The 21,284-nt window shown below is 55.9% G+C and overlaps 1 long non-coding RNA gene across 4 annotated transcripts, besides 3 other annotated features; it reads left to right on the forward strand.

The window, feature by feature from the left end:
* Positions 1,392-1,984: an enhancer, noted in NCBI's record as "H3K27ac-H3K4me1 hESC enhancer chr19:4575301-4575893 (GRCh37/hg19 assembly coordinates)". NCBI's record gives its function as "activates a minimal SCP1, AML or CMV promoter by ChIP-STARR-seq in naive and primed H9 embryonic stem cells {active_cell/tissue: H9 hESC(naive and primed)}" and the evidence as "EXISTENCE:reporter gene assay evidence [ECO:0000049][PMID:30033119]".
* Positions 1,440-1,734: a silencer, noted in NCBI's record as "tiled region #6646; K562 Repressive DNase unmatched - State 5:Enh". NCBI's record gives its function as "represses a minimal TATA promoter and a strong SV40 promoter by Sharpr-MPRA in K562 cells {active_cell/tissue: K562}" and the evidence as "EXISTENCE:reporter gene assay evidence [ECO:0000049][PMID:27701403]".
* LOC105372249 (uncharacterized) lies at positions 6,664-12,167 on the forward strand. 4 transcript variants are annotated; one of them, XR_001753848.3, is made up of 3 exons: positions 6,664-6,875; positions 11,515-11,685; positions 11,794-12,167. It is a non-coding gene; the product is annotated as an uncharacterized LOC105372249 (long non-coding RNA). The 4 variants fall into 4 exon arrangements; XR_007067102.1 differs by lacking the exon at positions 6,664-6,875 and adding an exon at positions 7,918-8,003; XR_936272.3 differs by lacking the exon at positions 6,664-6,875 and adding an exon at positions 10,440-10,549.
* Positions 10,322-10,511: a silencer, noted in NCBI's record as "silent region_9894". NCBI's record gives its function as "represses an Ori minimal core promoter by ATAC-STARR-seq in GM12878 lymphoblastoid cells {active_cell/tissue: GM12878}" and the evidence as "EXISTENCE:reporter gene assay evidence [ECO:0000049][PMID:35858748]".
* Positions 12,168-21,284: the final 9,117 nt, after the last annotated feature.

The following is a 21,284-nucleotide window of genomic DNA, read 5'->3' on the forward strand; positions in this document are numbered from 1 at the left end:
TCTGTTTGCAGATGGAAAAACTGAAGCTCAGAGAGGTTAAGCCATTTTGCTGAGGTCACATAGCACATAAGGGTGCCATGGATGCAAACGTGATCTTGCTTCTTGCTGACATTTTTTTTTTTTTGAGACAGGGTCTCTGTCACCCAGGCTGGAGTGCAGTGGCGTGATCTCAGCTCACTGCAACCTCGACCTCCCAGGCTCACCCGATCCTCCTGCCTCAACCTTCTGAGTAGCTGGGACTACAGGTGTGCACCACCACACCCAGCTAATTTTTTGTATTTTTTGTAGGGGGTATGATACCCAGGCTGGTCTTGAACTTTTGGGCTCAAACAATTCTCCTGAGTCAGCCTCCCAAAGTGTTGGGATTAAAGGCGTGAGCCACTGTGTGAGGCCGCCTCTTGCTGACATTTTCCAAGTGCTCACAATGTGCTACCTGCCCGTGATGATGGCACACCCTAAATTTTTTTTTTTTTTTTTGCGACAGAGTCTTGCTCTGTCACCCAGGCTAGAGTGCAGTGGCACAGTCTAGGTTCACTGCAACCTCCTCCTCTCAGGTTCAAGCGATTCTCCTGCCACAGGCTCCCAAGTAGCTGGGATTACAGGCACGTGCCACCTTGCCTGGCTAATTTTTGTATTTTTAGTAGAGACAGGGTTTCACCATGTTGGTCAGGCTGGTCTCGAACTCCTGATCTCTAGTGATCCACCCGCCTCAGCCTCTCAAAGTGTTAGATTACAGGCGTGAGCCACCGCATCTGGCCAGCTGAAATATTTCACAGATAAGCAAGCAGAGACCCAGAGAGAGGCTGTCCCTGTCCCCAGGCCACTCGGGAAGCCAGGGTGTGGGAGCCCAGGCAGAACCTCCAGTGGGGACGTGGATGCATCTCTGGGGCTCCTGGGGCTCCTCCCCTCCGGGGAGGGGGCCCCCAGGTAATTAATTTTAATCACTGTTTTGAAATTGGGCCACCAGGAGGCAAGTCGGAAACAGCAACTTGTAATTAGGAATGGGTGGGGCGGTGGGGGGGGTTGCAACGACCATTCAGAGGAAATTAAAGTGTCATTTATACCCAGCAGGTAATTAAGGGACCCAGGAGGGGGTGGCTCGAGGGGGCTGGGGCTCCAAGGGAATCCAGGCTGGGGCTGGGGCGTCGAGCACCCACAGATTCCAAAGCAGGTTTGGGGACGGACAGGTCCTCCCTTCAGACCCAATTTGGAGGAAGTACAGAGGGGTGGGTCGTGAGCTTGGGACCCAGTTGTGGAGTTCAGAGGAGAATAAGGTTCTGTTATAGGGACTCCACTTAGGGAGGAAGAAAGATGGCCCGGCCTTTGGGGGCTTGATCTAGGGGCAGAAAATGAGGAGCCCTTCCCCTCCAAGTTGGGGTTCTGGGTGCCCTTCCCCGCACTGCTGAACTCCTCCCCCAGAATTCCTCCAGTCTCTGCCCCTCCCAAGAGGCTGGGGATCCCCAGGTGGCCGGGACCAGTGTGAGAGGCCTGGAGGGGGCCCCGCTGAGAGAGGTGGTGGGGAATGGGGGTGGAGGTCTCAGGGAGTGCCAAGTGCTGCTGGGAACGGAAGACCTGGCGAATGAACTTGAAGAAGACAAAGGCGGGAAATAGGTCCCAGGGGAAAGGCCCCGGGGTCAGAGCGGACCACAAGTCCTGGTGAGTCAGGGCTCAGGAATGATGGAGGGGCTGGCAGAGTGACGTGGGTGCTGGGGGATGGGGCTTGAGAACCGTCAGACTGTGGAGAACAGTGTTCGAGGGGAAGGGGCCCCCAGTTTGCTGGGTCATCTCAGGGAGGCTGTCATCCCCATCTGTGCCTCACTGCTCCCCAGAGCCTGAGGCTCCGACCTTCAAAGAGGGACAACAGCAAACACTTACAGGGTGCCTACCCCGTGTTCCCAGCCCTGTCCCTCACTGAGCCCAGCGGGGTAGGTCACAGGGGCTCTTCTGACCATTCCATAGGTGGGAAAACTCGGGGCCAGGGTGGGCAAGGGATGGGGCCAAGGTCGCACAGCCCAGAAATGGCCAAGCTGGGATCTGAACCCGGGCCCAGGAGTCCAGACGCTGCGCTGTTAACCACAGCACTGCCCTGCCCCCAGAGAAAGGGGCTTTCAGCCTCTTCACATCCATCTCAGCAAGTTTTGTGGGTGACTCCAAAAATCTGTCCCCTATCCATCCACTTTGCCCCCCTCTATTACCCTTGCCTGGCCGGCCCCCATCAATTATTACCAGGACCTGGTCCTCAATTCCAGCCTCGCCCCCGTCTGTCTTCCCCAAAGCTGCCACCAGAGGGCACCAAGAGTCAGGTCCTGTCCCTCCTCTTCCCGCAGCCCTCCATGGCTCCCACCTCCCTGGGGGTCGAAGCTCAAATCCTCACTGCAGCCCACGAGGCCCTGCATGACTGGCCCCGTACTCTCCTTGCCCTTCCCTCCTCCCACTCTCCCCTCCACACTCTGCTGCAGCCATACGGGCCTACTTGGTGTTCCTCCAACACGCCAGGTGAGGTCCTGCCCCAGGGCCTTTGCACGGGCCGTGCCCTCTGCCTGAAGTGCTGCTTCCCAAGATCTCTGCATGACCAGCTCCTTCTCATCTTCCAGGTCTCAGCTCAAATGTCATCTCCTCAGAGACACCCTCCCCGACAGCCTCAGTGAACACAGCCCCGCCCTTCTCAGCCACTTGCAAGATAACTGTCTTCAGGGCACTGACTATACCTGATTTACCTTGCCCTTTCTCTAGTTAGTGTCTGTGCTCCCCTGTCCCCCCACCCAGCTGGGAATTCGACAAGGGCAGGATGCAGTAGTCTATGCCTTGGTCATTGCTGGGTCCGCGGCACCTGGCACTTAATAGGTGCTCACTAAACATCAGTCCACTTGTTAAATGCAAGCAATGCTCCCACAGCTCCAAATGAGATCATGGCCAGAAGCTCCACGTTTCTGCTTTGCAAGGTTGTTCCTTTTCTTGGAGTCAGAAACCCAACAGAACTATATGTGGCATTTTGCCTGCAACCTCTTGTTTAAATGGTCAACCCTAAGGGAGGCAGAACAGCAACCCCTGTTTTACCCATGGGGAAACTGAGGCTCAGAGAGGGGGCATGAGTGAGTGAGAGAAAAAACTGATTCAATCTCAAGTCAGTCTGATCCAAATGCTACGGCTGCCTATGAGGGCGATAATTCAGAATGGCTACTTCAGCTTCCCCAGGGGCTCTGAGTCCATGGCCTTCAGGGGAGGGAGGTTCTTCTGCAATCATCAGAAAACATATGGCTGCCCCCTAGTGAACTCCTAAACATCCATCATGGCCCTAGCTACAGTGCCCCTTCCTGGTACATCTTCCCTGATCCATGAGGCAGGGTACAGCTTTCCCTAGCCCCAGTTGCTCCCTCTGCCCTAGCCCTGAACCTGTGTAGCACGGGTGGCCAGTGCCTGCCCCTGTTTCTCTTCCTCTGGCCTGGAAGCCCCTCCAACTAGACAGAGGAGTTAAAGTTACCTCTCTGGGATCCTAGCATCACCCAGCACAGGACACAGCACATGGGGACCACTGGCAGCATTTGTTGACTGACTGAGGGACCTAATTGCCTGGAACCAGGCCCACCTGGGAACCCACAATCCTCCTCTGGGTTCCTGTATTTGGGAAGCTCCCTCCTAGGTCCGCCCTTGGAAGGCTGGCTTAGCTGGGCCATGGTGCATCCTGGGAAATGTAGTCTAGAGTGGGCCTTGCCTCCCAGTGGGGCCCTGGGGTGGCCAGCTTTGGACCCTGGGGCCAGATAGAGAAGGAGCATTGAGGGTGGCAAGTAGTAGGGCCCCATGTCCCTGCCAAAGAGTCCTAAGGGTGGTCCCCAGCCTCCCAAGTCTCTTACTTTTTCTTTTTCCTTTTTTTTTTTTTGACGGGGTCTTGCTCCGTCCCCCAGGCTGGAGTGTAGTGGCGTGATCTCAGCTCCTTGCAACCTCTGCCTGCTGGGTTCAAGCGATTCTCCTGCCTCAGCCTCCTGAGTAGCTGGGATTACAGGCGTGAGCCACCACGCCCAGCTAATTTTTGTATTTTTAGTAGAGACGGGGTTTCGCCATGTTGGCCAGGCTGGTCTTGAACTCCTGGCCTTAAGTGATCCTCCCGCCTCGGTCTCCCAAAGTGCTGGGATCACAGGCGTGAGCCACCGCCACTGTCTTACTTGTCCTAATGTCTGCCACTTCACCTGGATGTCCCTGGAGGAGAGGTGATGAAGGACCGTGATAACGAAAAAGGATTGCGTGCCTGGGTTCCTATGGTCACACACCCGACCCCAGCACCACCATGCATGATGGTGAGGGTGTCTAGGGTGAAGGGTCTGTTTTGGGATAATTCAGCCAAAGGACATGGGGCCGGTGGCTGGGGCCTGAATCCTGGGCTGCTTTGAGCCTTAGTTTCCCTACTGCTGCTACATGAAGACAGGGAGGGAAGAAATGCACGACCATGGCCAAGAGAAAGCCACAGCCCAACCAAATCACGGCTGGGTTTTGGAGGAGTCACAGTATGAGAGCCCACAACCCCTTAAATACCTGAGACTCTCAGAACCTGCTATCTCAAACACGACAGCAGTTCAGAAAACCCACAGTACCTGGAAATTGAAAAAAAAAAATCCAGGAGATCACTTGGGGCTGACCAATATCAGGATTATTTATCCAGGATTCTGCAAAGACAGCCGTCCAACCCCTCTGGCCTGCCTCCCACGAGGGGCGGCTCACCACTCCTTCCAGCAATGCATTTGGTTTCCAAGGAGCCTGTCTCCTCGTAGCTACCCTTCCTCAAGATCTGAAATGTGACTCATGCCCCTCCCCCTGCTCTATAACCTTCCATGGCTCCCCATTGCCCTTGGGATAAAGTTTGCTCCTTGGCTTGGCATTCAAGGCTACTGCCTACCTCATGGTCCTCTTAAATAGTCTAGCCACTCAGGGCTCCTCCAACATACCCCACTGTGATGATCCTTGCTGTTCCCTCTGCCTGCAATGCCTGTCCCCCTCTCCTCCAGGCAGAATCCTTCTCCTTCAAGCCCAGTCCCAGTACTCCCTCCTCCAGGCAGCTTTCCCTGCTCCCACCTGTCCTGACCACTGCCCTGGAAGTTTCTCCCTCCAGCATCTCCCTTTCCGGGCCCACAGGACAGGGCCACGCCCAGGGTCAGCTCGGGACACCTTCCTTCCCAGGAGACGGGCGGTGACCAGCAACATCCTTCAGTCCCCAGGGATCCAGCTCACCTGTCCTGCAGGCTGACGTCATGGTCACCTTTCCAAGGGCAGTTTGATTTCTATCTTCCAGGCCCAGTCCTGGTAACCCCAGCAAACTCCGGCTGCCAGCCTGGTGTGGCCACTGCAGAGGACATGCCACATCTCCAGCCCCTTCTATGCCCATCGGTCAGAGGCGAGGACTGAGGTCTCAGGGGGAAAGGCCCCTCCTGGGGGGACTGGATACCTAGGCTTGGAGACAACTCACTTCAAAGCAGAGAAGGTGACACAGACCCTAAGATCCTGTGGGGGCTCAGCCCCAGCCGAGTCTGGTGGGGGAACCAGAGGCAAAATGGGGCAGGCACAGATCAAGACAGTCTCAAGCGACCCCTCTCTGCCTCACCTCCCCCAACTCCAGTCCAAAACCAAAGCGCATCTCCTGGGGAGACTGAAGCCCAGAAAGGACTAGGGACCAGCCTGAGGCCACACAGCTAAGCGCCTCCTCTCAAAGCTCCTGCATAGCCCAGAGTCAAGGGGAAGAAGGGAGGAGCAGAGCTTCAGGGCAACCCTTAGGAGGAGCTGGGATGCAGGAGAGCTCTTGGGTTTCAACGGCTTCCTCGGGCCTCAGTTTCCCCACCTGCTGTTGGGATGGGCCGGTTCAGAACAGACAAGAGGCTGACGCCAGGCTGCCACCTACCCAATATCCGAGGCGTCTCTGTGTGGGTGGCAGTGACTCCCAGACAACTTCCCGGAGAGTTTAAGACCCCCTCCCAGGTGAGTTCCAACTCAGCCTTGGCCCCAGCCGTTCCCCACCACCCACCCCACAACCTGTGCTCTCCCTATGTAGAGTTTAAAGCAATTGTTCAGGTACATCCTGAAGTCCCGCGCCTGAAAGAAACTGGTCTCCCGGGATGTGGGAAAGGGTTTGGGGGCAAGGGGGATGCCCCAGGGGTCCTGAATTTTTATTTTGGAGAGGGAATTTGGACCTTCTCACAAGCTGAAGGAACACAGAAAAACAGAAATGCAATTTTACAAATGGGGCAGGGGCCCCCTTCAGTCACCATAGCCATGAGTCCCTCTCTCCCTCCTCCCTCCTTAAACCCAAACCCAGAACCCCAAAGCCTCAGAGCACCCCAGTAACTCCAAGTCCCCGTTCCGCTCCAGTCTAGGGGTCAAAGATGACAGCCTCAGGTAGAGGATGTCAAAGACCTCAGCGAGAGAGAGAGGGCCACATGGCGGCGGGGGTGAGGGTCTGCGAATCCCTCCCCCAACCCCAGGACTCTTGCAAACGCTCCTAGCTCCAGCATTAACCCGGCCGGGGCAGAGGTGGGGGTTCATGACAGTAGCGCCCCCTCTGGGAGATGCCCCAAACTCGGAGAGCGCCCAGAGGCGGAGAGCAGGAGAGGAGGGCACGTGACCCCCACCCCGGGGACCAATCAGCGCCCGCGGGAGGGGGCCACACTCGGCGCCCCCCACCCATCCCGGCGCGCTTGGAGATAGACGTTTTCTTTGTCCTTTTGTCAGCTCTTGGGGGCCCCCGAACCCCCAGGCCCCCACTGCAGCGGGGGGGATCCGGACCGGCCGGCCCTCCCCTCCAACACCACTGCGACCCCTGCCCCGCGGCCTGGACCCGCGACTCGTCCTGTTCTGGGCTGGACAGGAGGCCGGAGAGGACTCGGGCGCCCAAGGTGCGGCGGCCGGACGCGAAGTGGGGCGGAGGGGCCTCCCAGTGCCAGGACCCCCACACCAGCCCCGGGTCGCCTCGACTTGGCTCTCAGGACCCCGCCCCCCAACGCCACCCCCAACCCCCGACCAACAGGCCCCCTGCCTGCCCCGAACCCCCCACCTGGGCCCCAATCCAGCTCCCCAGCGGCGCAGCCGCGAGCCTCATTATTGTGTCTTCTCCGGGCCCCCCCAGGACAAAATCTCCACCCGCTGCGGTGCCGACAGAACCCCCAACCTAGCTGCACATACAGGCCCCCAGTCAACAATCCAAGCGCCCCCCCCACGTTGCGGTGCCATTAGACACCCCCATAATGGAGGCTCAGGGAGCGCCCCAGGCCAAAATCCAGCCCCTCCAAAGCGATGCCACCGGACCCCCACCGGATCCCTCCATACGGCCAGCGACCCCCTCTCCAATCCGGTCCCCTCCCCAGTTGTGTGGCTGAGAGATTCCCCCCCTCGTTCTAGCGCTCCCCAAACCCCCTCCCTGGCTCCAAATCCGTCCCCTCCCAGTGGCAGGGCCCGCAGGCCCCCCAGTCCTAGCGCCTGACCTGGCCACCCCAGCCAGCCTTTCGGTCCCCCCAGCTGCGTGCCGACAGACGCCCCCATCCCCGCGCCTCCCCCAACCCCCTCCGCAGACGCCCCGGGGCGCTTACCTCGGAGCCGCGGCCGCCGCGAGTGCGCGGGCGGGAGGCGCGAGGGCGGGAGGGCGCGGGCTGGGGGGGTCCGTGCGCGCACCTGTCCCGGCCGGGCCGCTCAGCCCGGCATCCCCGGCTGGGGAGGGGGGCTGGGGGCGCGCGCTCTCCCCGCCCCCGGGCCCACGGCGCTGCGCTGGGGGAGGGGGCTCAGCCCCGGCCCCCCGCGCGCTGGCGTCGGCTCCGGGGGGGGCGCTGCGCGGCGGCCGGACCGGGGGCGCGCCGCGGCCGCATCTCCTCCGCCCGCCGCGGCCGCCGCTGCGACTCGCGGCTCTGCCACCTCCGCCCCCCCTTTCCAGCAACCCCCCACCTCCCCAAAGCCGGGCTGGAGCCGCGCAAAACCCGGCCCGGAGCAACCGCGGCGCGGAGCGGAGGGCGGAGCCGGTGGGTGGCGTTTGGGTGAGTTGTGGGGGAGGCCCAAGGGGGTCACCCTGCTTTGGTCCAGGTGGTGGACTTATTAATTGAGCCGCCCCAACTTCCTCTCCTGGTCCCCTCTGTTCAAACTCGCATCCCCAGGATCCAGCCCCAATCACACCCAGCCCATGGGGTCAATGAGGCTGTCAGGAACCCTACGGTCTGGGTGGCCCCCTTCATAGACGAGATCATTTCTTCAATCCACAAGTATTCCATTTAGCAACATTCACTCGACACTTCAGGAAACTGAGGCACAGGGAGGTCTTGTCCAAGGTCACCCAGTTAGAGAGCGTCAGGGGGTTTTCGACCTGAGCAAACCGGCTGCAGAGATCTCCATGGTTCACGACTCCCGGACCTGCCCCTCTGTCGCCAGCGCCCTGTGGGACGTGGCCCAGAAAGGAGTTTTTCGAGGACTGCAGGTTCCCCCATGAATTTGAGACCCCAGGACAGAGCCTAGAGGTTTCAGAGACCTTCCTGTAACCCTCCTGACCCTTCGAATGAATTCAGGACAGCAGGGGCTGCTCTCCATGCCTCAGTGCCCCTCCCTGTCCAAAGTACCTCCCCATGTGGATGTGATCCTGTACGTCTCCCCCACTGGACTGAGTGCTGTCCTGGTCGCTCTGGCCTCTCTCCATACAGTAGATGCTCTGTAAACACTTATTTTTTCTTGTCTTTTCTGTTTTTCTTATCTTTTTCTTTCTTTCTTTGAGATGGAGTCTTGCTCTGTCACCCAGGCTACAGTGCAGTGGCATGATCTTGACTCAGTGCAGCCTCCGCCTCCCGGGTTCAAGCAGTTCTCCTGCCTCAGCCTCCTAAGTAGCTGGGATTACAGGCAACTGCCACCATGCCTGGCTAATTTTTGTATTTTTAGTAGAGATGGGCTTTCATCATGTTGGCCAGGCTGGTCTCGAACTCCTGACCTCAGGTGATCCGCCCGCCTCGGCCTCCCAAAGTGCTGGGATTACAGGCATGAGTCACCGCGCCCGGCCTCTTTTCTGTTTTTCTATAATTTAGATAGATAATAGAGAAATGGGGGAGAGAGAGGATAGATGATTTTTTTAAAAATTGTTATTATTATTTGTAGAGACCGGGGCTTGCTACATTGCCCAGGCTGGTCTTGAACTACTGGCCTCAAGCGATCCTCCCACCTTGGCCTCCCAAAGTGCTGGGATTATAGGCATGAGCCACTGAGACCAGCCAACACTTTGTTGTTATGTAGCTTGTGACTTTTCTTGCACACTTACTGAGTGCTGGGGCCACTATGCCCCATCCCTGGCTCCGTGCCATCCAGGGGGTCCAGACAGGTTGTGCACTGGCTTCCAGCAGCCACTCAGTGGGGACTGGGTATCAGGACTTGAACCCCGCTCCCCAGGCCACCCACGGCAATCTGCAGGCTCCCTGGCACCCATGGAGACAGCCCAGGTCTTCCAGTTCCTGGGCATGTTCCCAGGGCCATCCTGGTGACCACAAACCTCCGGGAGCAGCCAGGCCTTCCTGCCCGTGGTTTTGCCCTTCCCGCCTTCCGGCCGCCCCAGCATCCCAGGCAAATCAGCCAAGGCACCTGCTGGTGTCCAGCCCCCACCCCGCCCCGTGTCCTGCCCGCTGGGGGCCACTGAGGCCTGCTCCACAAGGGAGGGGGCCGAGCCCCAGCTCCAAGGCTTGGGGTCTAGAATCTGCGTCCTCCCACCTACACTCCCTTCCCTGCGCTGTGCCCAGCCCCTGGCATCCCCTCCCTCCCCTGCCTTCTTGGCTGTGCCCAGCTGGGTACTTCTGCACCCTAGTCATTCAGCAAACATTTATTGAGCACCTACTGTGTACCAGATACTGGACTGAGCTGTCAACAAGACAAATCTGCCCTGTGCCTTTTGTCTAGCCTGGGGATACAGAAACCAGTGGGCACAGAACTGCAGGCTGAGACAGACTGGCTGGAGGTCCAGGAGGACCTCGAGGAGGTGGCATGGAGGCCTTAGAGGGACCATAGATCCAAGCAGGGGGGTGGGGGTAGGGGTGTGCGGGGAGGGCGTTCTAGGCAGAGAGACCTCGGGGACAAAGGCCTTGAGGGAGGCCCCACCCCCACCGGTGGCTCAGCTGCCACCCAGGCTTCTGCGACCATGAATGGGTCTTTCATGTCCTGGACCGGGGCAAGGTCAGGCCGGGCCTCTCCCTCCTCCCGCCCAGGGCTCCTGGCTGTCTGAGCCCTGACCTGGAGGACAGTGGCAGGATGGGCCAGGGAGGCCCAGGGAGGGGCAGGGCATCGCCCGAGGTCACCAGAGCCAGCAGCGCCCTCCCAGCCGTGGGATTCTGAGCAAAGCCCCGCCCCGCTGGGCCTCAGTTTCCCCGGCCTGGGCGGGCGCGTTGGCAGCGCAGCGCTCCCGTCCTGCTCCGACCGGGTGGATTCCAGTGCGGGTTTTGCGGGCGCCCGCGGCCACCGACACCTTCTTCCCAGTGCGGCCCGGGCTGCGGCCCCGGGTCCGAGGAGGCCCGGGGAGACCCGGAGGAGGTCAGAAGGCCTTCAGGGTCCCCGGGATGGGGTGAGGCTGAGCTCGGCCCCTTACTGCCGGCGCCTGCCAGGAAGGGAAGCCCCGCCCCAATGCCTGCGCGCCCCCATCAGGACCACTAGCCTCGTCGCCCCGCTGTGTGACTCCCGGGGGTCCCTGGCCCTCTCTGGGCCGAGCTGTAGTCAGGCTCACGGGCAGCCGCTCAGAGAGGTCGCCTGGGTCCCATCCCTTCCCCAAATGGCCCCCCGCCTCAGTTTCCCCGGCCAGGTGCAGGCTCTCTTTAACCCCAGGTTGGGGGGTCCTCGCTGCTAGGTTGCACCCCGGGTCTCCGCTCAGGCCAGGGAATCCCCTGGGGGCTCCGAACGGGCAGCTCCGATTGGCTGGGGCCACGTGTGACGTCAGAGCCTCCCCAACGCCCCCTCCCCTAGAGGCAAGTGGGGGCGGTCGCGGCCGGGGAGGGGTCCCGGGTCCGAGCGGATTCGGGGTGTCCCCCCAGCTCAAGTCGGCAGCTGGGCCGCGCAGACGCGATTCTCCTCGGACAGATTTTTCCCTCGTCCCAAATCCCCCTCCGGCCCCCCCCAGAACGGCAGCTGCTCAGGCGGCAGATGCGCCGGCTAAATCCGCCCAGCTGGTCCTCCGCGGAGCTAACCGCCTGGAGCCCCGGGGCTGGGGGAGTGCTGGCCGCATGGTCCTGACCCTTCCTCGCTCCCTGTTCTTTGACCCCTGACTCTTCGCGGAAAGGGGCCGGGATTCTGTTGAGGACACTTTCTCAACCTCCAGTTCCCTCCTGGAGCTGCTGAGAGGATTTGGGGGAGTCTGGCGCCCAGAGAGGGTGGAGCCCTTTCCAAAAACCACACAGCATCCCTGGGCGTGCTGTCCAAAATATGCCCTGTATTGCGCATATATTAATAATTATGATGATGACTTAACATATTAGGCCTCTGCTATATGCACCCCCACGATTCTAGGACTATTATGCTATTACTCCATTTTCAAAGGTGGAAACTGAGACCCAGAGAGCCGTGACTTGACTGATCCCACAGCCAGGAAATGGTGGAGCCTGGATTTGAACCCCAGCTTTTAAGAAGAAGGTGCCACTGTCCTGGAAGAACTCTCAGGACAGCATTAGTGTCTCAGGGATCCCCCTAATCGGAGGGGCCTTAAGGCAAGTGAGTGTGACCTGGGGTGAGTGAGTGGGGTCTCTTAGACCTCTTCCCTGCCCCCTGCCTGGTGCCCCTGAGCCTGACACAGACTGCCTCCCTGCCTTGCTTTTTCAGCCTAATCATGATTGTCACTGAAGATCCAGGAGGGCTTCCTGGAGGAGGAGGCAGCTCCATTCTGAAATGCCAAGGGTACAGCTTTATTGGGACAGCCAGTGTCTCTGAATATGTAGGTTTTGCACAGAGCTTGTACTGCCCCAGGGCCTGTACACTGCCTGTCCCCTCTGCCTTGTGCACTCTTTCCCTAGATGTCCAAATGGCTCCTTTCCTCACCTACCCCAAATCTCAATTCCAGTGTTTCCCCAGCCTCCCCTCATTTCAGTAATCACTCTGCAGTGAGCTAGGATTGCGCCACTGCACTCCAGCTTGGATAAGAGAACAAGACCCTGTCTCTTAACTAAATACATAAATAAAAATAATTCCCCTCTTCATCCCTCTTTACCCTGTTTTGATGGTTTTGTTCAACTTTTCACCAATAGGACTTTCTCTTATGCATTTACTCGTTTCTCTTCCAATCCCTCCCCAAGACAGTCAAGTTCCCAAGTCTGTCCAGGACTCCACTGTGTCACGAGGCTTAAAACAGAGCCAAGCACACAGTAAGCACTCAACACATGTGGTGAATGAATGAACGAATGAAGGAGTGAATGAGTGGGAGTCTGAGATTTCAACAGGGCTTGCCTTCATTGTATCAAAGGGGAAACTGAGGCCCATTGATCAGAGAGTGAGACCAGAGTCACTTATTTTTCTCTTTAGCAAAATAGGACATAATGGTGACCACCTCCCCAGTATGCAGCAGGGGTATCCAGGGAAATAATAATGTCGGAAGCACTTATTAAGCACCTACTGTGTGCACTGCACAGCTCCAGGTGCTTTGCGCATTTCGAATGGAGACAAGGACTCCAACCCAGAACCCAGGACGCCTGGTCCCATGGTCAGCCTGAGTTCCCTACACCTCACTGCTTCCCTCTCATTGAGAGAGGGGTTATATATGCAAGCTCCGGGTGCACAGGAGACCTTCAGCCAGGGAGGCAGTGGTCCCCACTGTGTCTGAGGCCCCCTCTGCAGCCCCGCAGACCCTGGGCCCGAGGTTCAGGCTGTGTGTCTGGCTGGAGCTAACAGCACCATGCCTGCACGCAGGAAACATTAAATTAGAGACGGAAGCAGCAGGACCTGCGCCTGATTTATAAATTGAAATTAGAGCAATTACAAGGCTTCCTCCTTCTCAGAAACTGAGAAATCCCCCAGAAAGGCCCATGTGTGTCCTGGGTTGGCCCAGAACCCCCTCCCCCAAGGCATCATCTGCATATGATGTAGTGACAAATGAGGCAGTGGCATCCTGGTCTCCAAAACAAGGAATTTGTGGGTGGAGCGAGGGTGTCCAGGGACCTTCAACCTCCCTGGGGTCTGTCCTTGGGTATAGATAGGAAACTGAGGCATGGGAGGTGAGTGTCATTTGGGCAGGGGCAGGTGTCACATTCTCCGCTTTCAAAATCTCCCCTCTGGCCTGGTGCGGTGGCTCATGCCTGTAATCCTAGCACTTTGGGAGGCCAAGGAGGGCGGATTGCCCGAGCTCAGGAATTCGAGACCAGCCAGGGTAACAGCAAAAGCTCATCTCTACTAAAAACACAAAAAATCAGCCGGGTGTGGTGGTGCATGCCTGTAATTCCAACTACTCGGGAGGCTGAGGCAAGAGAATCCCTTGAACCCGGGAGACGGAGGTTTCAGTGAGCCGAGATGATCGTGCCACTGCACTCCAGCCTGGGAAACAAAGCAAGACTCTATCTCAAAAAATAAAAAAATAAAAAATAAATCTCCCTTCCCCTAGATCTCCCTTCCCCTAGGCTTCCCATTCCAGCCTAGTGAGCACACCCAGCTCACTCCTGCCTCGGGGCCTTGGCACTTGCTGTTCCCACTGCCTGGAAGCTGTTCCCCACCAACGTTCCCTTCTCTGAGAGGCCTTCCCTGATCATCCCAAGTTGGAGAGGATGGCTCTTTTCCACCCACTGTTTTCTTTTCTCTAAAATCAGTGATGGGATAGTGAGCTGCCTGTCAAGAGAGGCAAGCAAGCAGACAGTGGAGTGGATGTGATCTCTGCAGCTCACACACTGGCGTCCATCCCCTAGCTTTACCACTCACCAGCTGTGAACAAGTTGTTTAACATGAGAACATTCCAAAAGATGCCGGGGCCTAGGACGGACGCCATGGCTCATGCCTGTAATCCCAGCACTTTGGGAGGCTGAGGTGGGTGGATCGCCTGAGGTCAGGAGTTTGAGACCAGCCTGGCCAACATGGTGAAACCCTGTCTCTACTAAAAAATATATAAAAATTAGCTGGACGTGGTGGTGCGTGCCTGTAATCCCATCTACTTGGGAGGCTGAGGCACGAGAATGGCTTGAACCTGGGAGGCAGATGTTGCACTGAGCCGAGATCATGCCGCTGTACTCCAGCCTGGGCGATAGAGCGAGACTCTGTCCCCCCATTAAAAAAAAAAAATGCTGGAGCCTGTCACATAGTTGGTGCTTAATAAAGATAAGTAGTCTTCTCCATGGGAGGTCCTGAGATTCTTGTTTCTTCCTCTTGGTGATTTTTCCTAATCTTCCTCCTCTCTTGGAAGCTGTGGGAAGGAGCTTTGATGCCGTTACATTTGCGTAGGGCATTGTCAAAAGAGAAATAAAAACAGATGACCAGAACAGATCCTGGCACCCGTGTTCACAGCAGCAAAAGGGCAGAAGCAAACCGACTGCCAATGAGCAGATACATGGATCAACATAAGGGGGTCCATGGACACGGTGAAATATGACTCAGCCATCACAGGCTTCAGATGTGGATGCATCTTGAGGACGTCAGACTCAGTGAAGTAAGCCAGACGCAGAAGGCCAAATCCAGTGTGGTTCCACTCCTAGAAGGTCCCTGGAGTCATCAGATTCATAGAGACAGAAAGTAGATGGGGAGTGCCAGGGACTGGGGAGTGGGTGGGGAGTGAGTGTTTCTTGGGGACAGTTTCAGATTGGGAAAAGGAGAAAGTTCCGGAGAGGATGGCGGTGATGGTTGCACAACCACGTGAATGTGCTTAATGCCGCTGAACTGTGCACTTAGAAATTGTTAAAATGCTGATTTTTCTGTGATGTGTGTTTTACCACATTTTTTCTTTCTTCTTTTTTGAGACGGAGTCTCGCTCTGTCCCCCAGGCTGGAGTGCAGTGGCACGATCTCGGCTCACTGCAAACTCCGCCTCCCGGGTTCACGCCATTCTCCTGCCTCAGTCTCCTGAGTAGCTGGGACTACAGGCGCCCGCCACTGCGCCTGGCTAATTTTTTGTATTTTTAGTGGAGACAGGGTTTCACCGTGTTAGCCAGGATAGTCTCGATCTCTTGACCTCGTGATCCGCCCCCCTCAGCCTCCCAAAGTGCTGGGATTACAGGAGTGAGCCACCGCGCCTGGCCCACATTTTTTCTTTAAAGATAGAAAGAAAACCAGAACTGGTATGCAGAAAGGGTGGCAAGATCCAAGCACAGAAAACAAATGTATTAAAAAATACAATATGGTTGGGCGTGGTGGCTCACGCCTGTAATCCCAGCACTTTGGGAGGCCGAGGCAGGCGGATCACCTGAGGTCAGGAGTTCGAGACCAGCCTGGCCTACATGGCGAAACCCCGTCTATACTAAAAATACAAAAATTAGCCGGGTGTGGTGGTGGGAGCCTGTAATCCCAGGTACTCGGGAGGCTGAGGCAGGAGAATCACTTGAACCCGGGAGGTGGAGGTTGCAGTGAGCCGAGAGACTCCGTCTCAAAAAAACAAAACAACAAAAAATTAGCCAGACATGGTGGCAGGTGCCTGTAATCCCAGCTACTTGGGAGGCAGAAGTAGGAGAATCACTTCAATCCAGGAGGCAGAGATTGCAGTGAGTCAAGATCACGCCATTGCATTCCGGCCTGGGCAGCAGAATGAGACTCTGCCTCAAAAATAAATAAATACATAAATAAAAATAATAGCAACAGCAGAAACAGGCAGTGACGGTGGAGGGTGTGTGTGTGAATGACCTCAGCTAGTGGCAGTTCGTCATTGCCACTAAGGCCAGCCACACAGGTGACACTGACAGTGTGCAGAGAGGCCATCAAGGGTGTCGAGCTCAGATCACACCCTTCCCTCCCCACCAGGGGGCCTGCTCAGCGTCCACTACAAAACCTCCGACACCTTCAGGAAGCAGAACTGAGCCTCGGGGGTCTTGCCCCTTGCTGGCCTATTTTTCAGCTAACTTTATTGAGCACCTACTGTGTACCAGGCTCTACTAGGCAGTGCTGGGGACACAGTGGCTGAGCAAGACACAAATGGACCCTCATCTTGGCAGAGTTCAGAGATCAGAGGCGAGGATTCACTCATTTTATTTTAGTTTTTAGAGATACAGTCTCACTCTGTGGCCCTGGGCTGGAGCGTGGTGGCCTGATCATAGCTCACTGCAGCCTCCAACTCCCAGGCTCAAGGGATCCTCCCACCTCAGCCTCCCCAGAGTGCTGGGATTGCAGGCATGAGCCACCACGCCTGGCCTAGCAGAAAGATTTTAAACAGGTAGTCAGGGAAGGCTTCACTGAGGAGGTGATATGTGAGCAGAGACTTGAAGAAGAGGGGGTAGAAAATCATGCAGCGGCTGGGCAAAGTGGCTCATGCCTATAATCCCAACACTTTGGGAACCTGAGGCGGGCAGATCACTTGAGGTCAGGAGTTCAAGGCCAGCCTGGCCAACATGGTAAAACCCTGTCTCTACTAAAAATACAAAAATTAGCCAGGCGTCATGGCACACACCTGTAATCCCAGCTACTCAGGAGGCTGAGGCAGGAGAATCACTTGAACCTGGGAGGCGGAGGTTGCAGTGAGCAGAGATCATATGTCTAAAATCTTATTGCCAGCCTGGGCAACAGAGCTGTCTCAATAAATAAATAAAAAATCATGCAGGTACCTAGGGAAAGAGTGTAGTAGGTGGGCGGGCACAGCCCTGTGCAAAGGTCCTGGGGCAGGACCGTGCCTGGCATGTTGGAGGAACAACGAGGAGGCCCGTGTGGCTGGAACAGAGTGAGGAATGGGAGGAAGGGAGGGCAGGCAGGTAAGGGGGCTTTTGGAATTAATTCAGCTCCTCTAGGGCGCCAAGCTCTACCCTGCCTCAGGGCCTTTGCACGGGCTGTTCTCTCCTCCTGGCCTTCTGCCTCCCTCTCCCCCCAGGTTGACCTGGTCAACCCGTCCTCCTTCATTCCCAAGGTAAATGTCTCAGTTTGAATCCCACACACCCGACTGGGAGCCCAAGGACCGGGCCCAGAACTGTCCAGGCCAAGGTGATGTCCAGCACTGCCCAACATAGAGTTGGCATACAGTAGGCACTCAATAAGTGTCTGGTAAGGTTCAGGAGATTGTCAGGGAAGCCTCCCTGCCCCTGCCCTGCAATGATGGTGAGGCTGGTGGCCCTCCCTTATCTGGACTCAGTTTTCCCTTCCAGAAGATTCCAAAGGCTGCGTCCAGGATGGAGATGGGAAGGTCGCTCCTCTACTCCAAAAGCATGGTGGGGGACAGGTCCCTCTGTAGTCCGTCCCCAGCCTGCTCTGCGACTGCAGGGGGAACCTGCCTTGCCCTCTCTCCTCACCCCTCCAGGCCTCTCTCCTTTCGTCTCCGTCTCTAGGTCCATCTCACCGCCTGCTTCCTCATCTCTCAATCTTGCTCTCTCACTGTCTCTGTCTCAGTCTTTCCCCTGGGTCTCCAGTTTTCTATCCCCCCATCCCCGTCCCCACCCCAGGGTCTAGAGATCTGCTCATCTTTGGGCAAAGCCTGGAGGCCAGGAAGGAGGAGGGGGTAGGGGAAGTTCCAGATGCTCCTCAACCCTCACCCGCCTAAGTGTGGGTGGGTCCCCAAGGAACCTGGGCTGAGACAGCTCTACCCCCTCCCCAGCTTCTTCGGGGATCCCCAAGGCCAGTGGGGAATTTCTAGGGAGAAATAAACATCCGTATCATTTACATAAAATCTGCATCAATTAGCATATCGATTACAAGAGTCTACAGAACCAGGCAAGCCGTTTGCAAGGAAAATAGTAACTTTAATGACAAATGAGGCCAGCAGCTTCTCCATGGAAGCGACTTGTCACACTTCCACCCTGCTTTACAGGTGGGAAAACCGTGGAGGTGAGTTCTAGACAGAGAGAGGGAGATAATCTAGGTGGGCAGGGTCTCTGCCCTCTCCAGGCATTTGCAGATAGATAATGAGGAAACAAGTAATTGGCTAAAATGATTTCAGATTATTATAAGGACCAGGAAGAAAAGAAATGAAGGAGGCCAGGTGCGGTGGTGGCTCACGCCTGTTATCCCAGCACTTAGGGAGGCCAAGGCGGGTGGATCACCTGAGGTCAGGAGTTCGAGACCAGCCTGGCCAACATGGCAAAACCCCGACTCTATTAAAAATACAAAAAATTAGCCAGGCATGGTGGCATGCACCTGTAATCCCAGCTACTTGGGAGACTGAGGCAGGAGAATCATTTGAACCTGGGATATGGAGGCTGCAGTGAGCCAAGGTCATGCCACTGCACTCCAGCCTGGGCAGCAGTGAGACTCCGTCTCAAAAATAAAATAAAATAAAAAATAAAACAAAATTGCCAGGCACGGTGGCATGTGCCTGTGGTACCCGCTGCTCAGGAAGCTGAGGCAGGAGGATTGCTTGAGCCAGGGAGGTTGAGGCTGCAGTGAGCTGTAGTGACACCACTGCACTCCAGCCTGGATGACAGAGCGAGACCCTGTCTCAAAAAAAAAAAAAAAAAGGAAAATTTAAAAAGAGAAAATGAAGGGCAGCGATTCTCTGGGGGCATCAGGGAGGGCCTCTCTGAGGAGGTGACATTGAGCTGAGACCTGAAGGAGGAGTAGGGGCCAGATGGGGAGGAAATATATATATATGAAGAGCGAAGAATGAAGGAGGACTCCAAACTCTTTCCCTTCCATCCCCCTCGCCACCTGTTCTTCACCCTCTCCAATCATTCCCATCATCCTTTGGGCTCAGCTCATATCATCTCCTCCAGGAAGCTCTCCTTGACTGCCCCAACTAAGTCAGCCTTGTTCCTGCCAGCTTCCCAGAGCCCAGCACAGGGCAGAAGCCCTACACGTTCCCCAGGAGATGGAAAGAAGATTCCCTGGTTCTGGGGACTGAAGATTTTGACAAGCTGGTAATGCGCACCTCTGGTCAGAACCACGTCTGCAGAGGAAAGACCCAGCCATATCCCTCTTTTCTCAGCTGCCTGGTAGGGGAGGAGAGGGCAGAGGAGGTTGAGTTTCTTGGGGAAAACTGGGGTGCCATCAGCTGTTCCCCTCCACTGCCTTCCTGTAGGGGGTCCCTGGGGTTGAGGGCTTCAGCCCAGCTCCTGGGGTGGGAACCCAGCCAGGAAAGATCTGGAGTGGGAGAGAAGGAAGACTGGGAGGGGCCAGGAAAGTGTCTATTTTTCCTCCTGCAGCTGTATTTATAGATTCCCTTTGATGTCCCAGCGTTGGGCTGACCTGGTTCTTGGCTGCATCAGGAGAAAGACAGGTTCTCAGAGTTGTTTCTAGAAGTTGGGCGGGCGGTGGGAGGGTGGGTCCTCAAATGAGGAGAGCTAGGTATGCAACAACTGGACCCCTGAGCTTGGAGGGGGTCTGGGATGGGGGGAGGCAAGGAGCTGGCCTCAGTTTCCCTGTTTGCAAAATGGGGATTTACATGTCTCTTCCAGGTTCTGTTCAGTTAAAGAGAAGAGAAACTTAAAAAAAAAAAAAAGACATATATAGTTCTCAAAAAGTTGAGACTGGGCAACATAGCAAGACCCCTATCTCTACAAAAAAAATTTTGAAAAAAATTAACAGGGCATGGTGGTGCTTGCTTTTAGTCCCAGCTACTCGGGAGGCTGAGGCAGGAGGCTTGCTTGAGCCCAGGAATTGGAGGTTGCAGTGAGCTATGATTGCACCACTGCATTCTAGCCTGGGCAACAGAGCAAGGCCCCGTCTCTAAAAATAAAGAAAGAAAGAAAAGAAATGCTGAAAACTTGAGTCACCCAAACGTCAAGTAAGCACATGTCCATGATTCATTAGCTCATTACTCAGGGAACCAATAAAATGTTGAGGCTGGTTCTAAGAGTATTTGAGGAACTAGGTATCTACGGAGATTTTTTTTTTTTTTTGAGATGGAGTTTTACTCTTGTTGCCAGGCTGGAGTGCAATGGCGCGGTCTCAGCTCACTGCAACCTCCGCCTCCCTGGTTCAAGCAATTCTCCTGCCTCAGCCTCCCAAGTAGCTGGGATTACAGGCACCCACCACCATGCCTGGCTAATTTTTTGTATTTTTATTAGAGATGGGGTTTCACCGTGTTGGCCAGGCTGGTCTGGAACTCCTGACCTCAGGTGATCTGCCCACCTCAGCCTCCTAAAGTGCTGGGATTACAGGCGTGCGCCACCACGCCCAACTAATTTTGTATATTTAGTAGAGATGGGGTTTCACCATGTTAGCCAGGCTGATCTCGAACTCCTGACCTCAGGTAATCTGCCCACCTCAGTCTCCCAAAGTGCCGGGATTACAGGCATGAGCCACCGCGCCCAGACCGAGATTGTTTTTTTTTTTAAGGTGGAATGTTAGATTAAGATCAGGCTAGATACAAACGAATTAATGGTCTATATTTCAGTAAAGCCCTAGTTGGGGTTCTCTTTTCTACCAGACAGACAGAAATGATCAAGTTAACTGTAACTTCGCAGGGCCTGAGCTCTCATCACATGGCCAAGTCATAGACAAGCACATGCTCCCACAGCAAGGTTCCAACAGAACTTCCTGCAGTGAAAGAGGCGTTTGAAATCTGTGCTAACACAGTAGTCAGCAGCCATGTGGCTATTCAGCGCTTACATGGTGACTTGAGGCTGAGTGCAGTGGCTCACGGCTGTAATTCCTGCACTTTCAGAGGCCGAGGTGGGTTGGGGGATGGCTTGAGCCCAGGAGTTTGAAACCAGCCTGGGCAACATAGCGAGAAGCTGTCTCTACCAAAAAAAAAATAAAAATTAGCTGGGCGTGGTGGTGTGGGTCTGTAGTCCTAGCTACTTGGAGGCTAAGGTGGGAGGATTGCTTGAGCCCAGGAGGTCGAGGCTGCAGTGAGCTATGATCCCACCACTGCACTCCAGGCTGGGTGACAGAGCGAGACCGTGTCTCAAACACACAAACAAAAAACAGTGACTTCAGCAAGTGAGGAATTGAATTTTTAATTTTATTTCATTTTAATTGACAATTTAATTTATTTTTGAGATAAGCTGGAGCACAGCGGCGCAATTTCGGCTCACTGCAGCCTCCATTTCCCGGGTTCAAGCGATTCTCCTGACTCAACCTCCCAAGTAGCTGGGATTACAGGTGCCGGCCACCACGCTTGGCTAGTTTTTTTTTTTTGAAATGGAGTCTCACTCTGTTGCCAGGCTGGAGTGCAGTGGTGCAATCTCGGCTCACTGCAAACTCTGCTTCCCGGGTTGAAGTGATTCTCATGCCTCAGCCTCCCAAGTAGCTGAAACTACAGGTGCACACCAC

The sequence above is a fragment of the Homo sapiens genome, chromosome 19, assembly GCF_000001405.40.
Source record: "Homo sapiens chromosome 19, GRCh38.p14 Primary Assembly".
In the NCBI taxonomy this organism is placed as follows: Eukaryota; Metazoa; Chordata; class Mammalia; order Primates; family Hominidae; genus Homo; species Homo sapiens.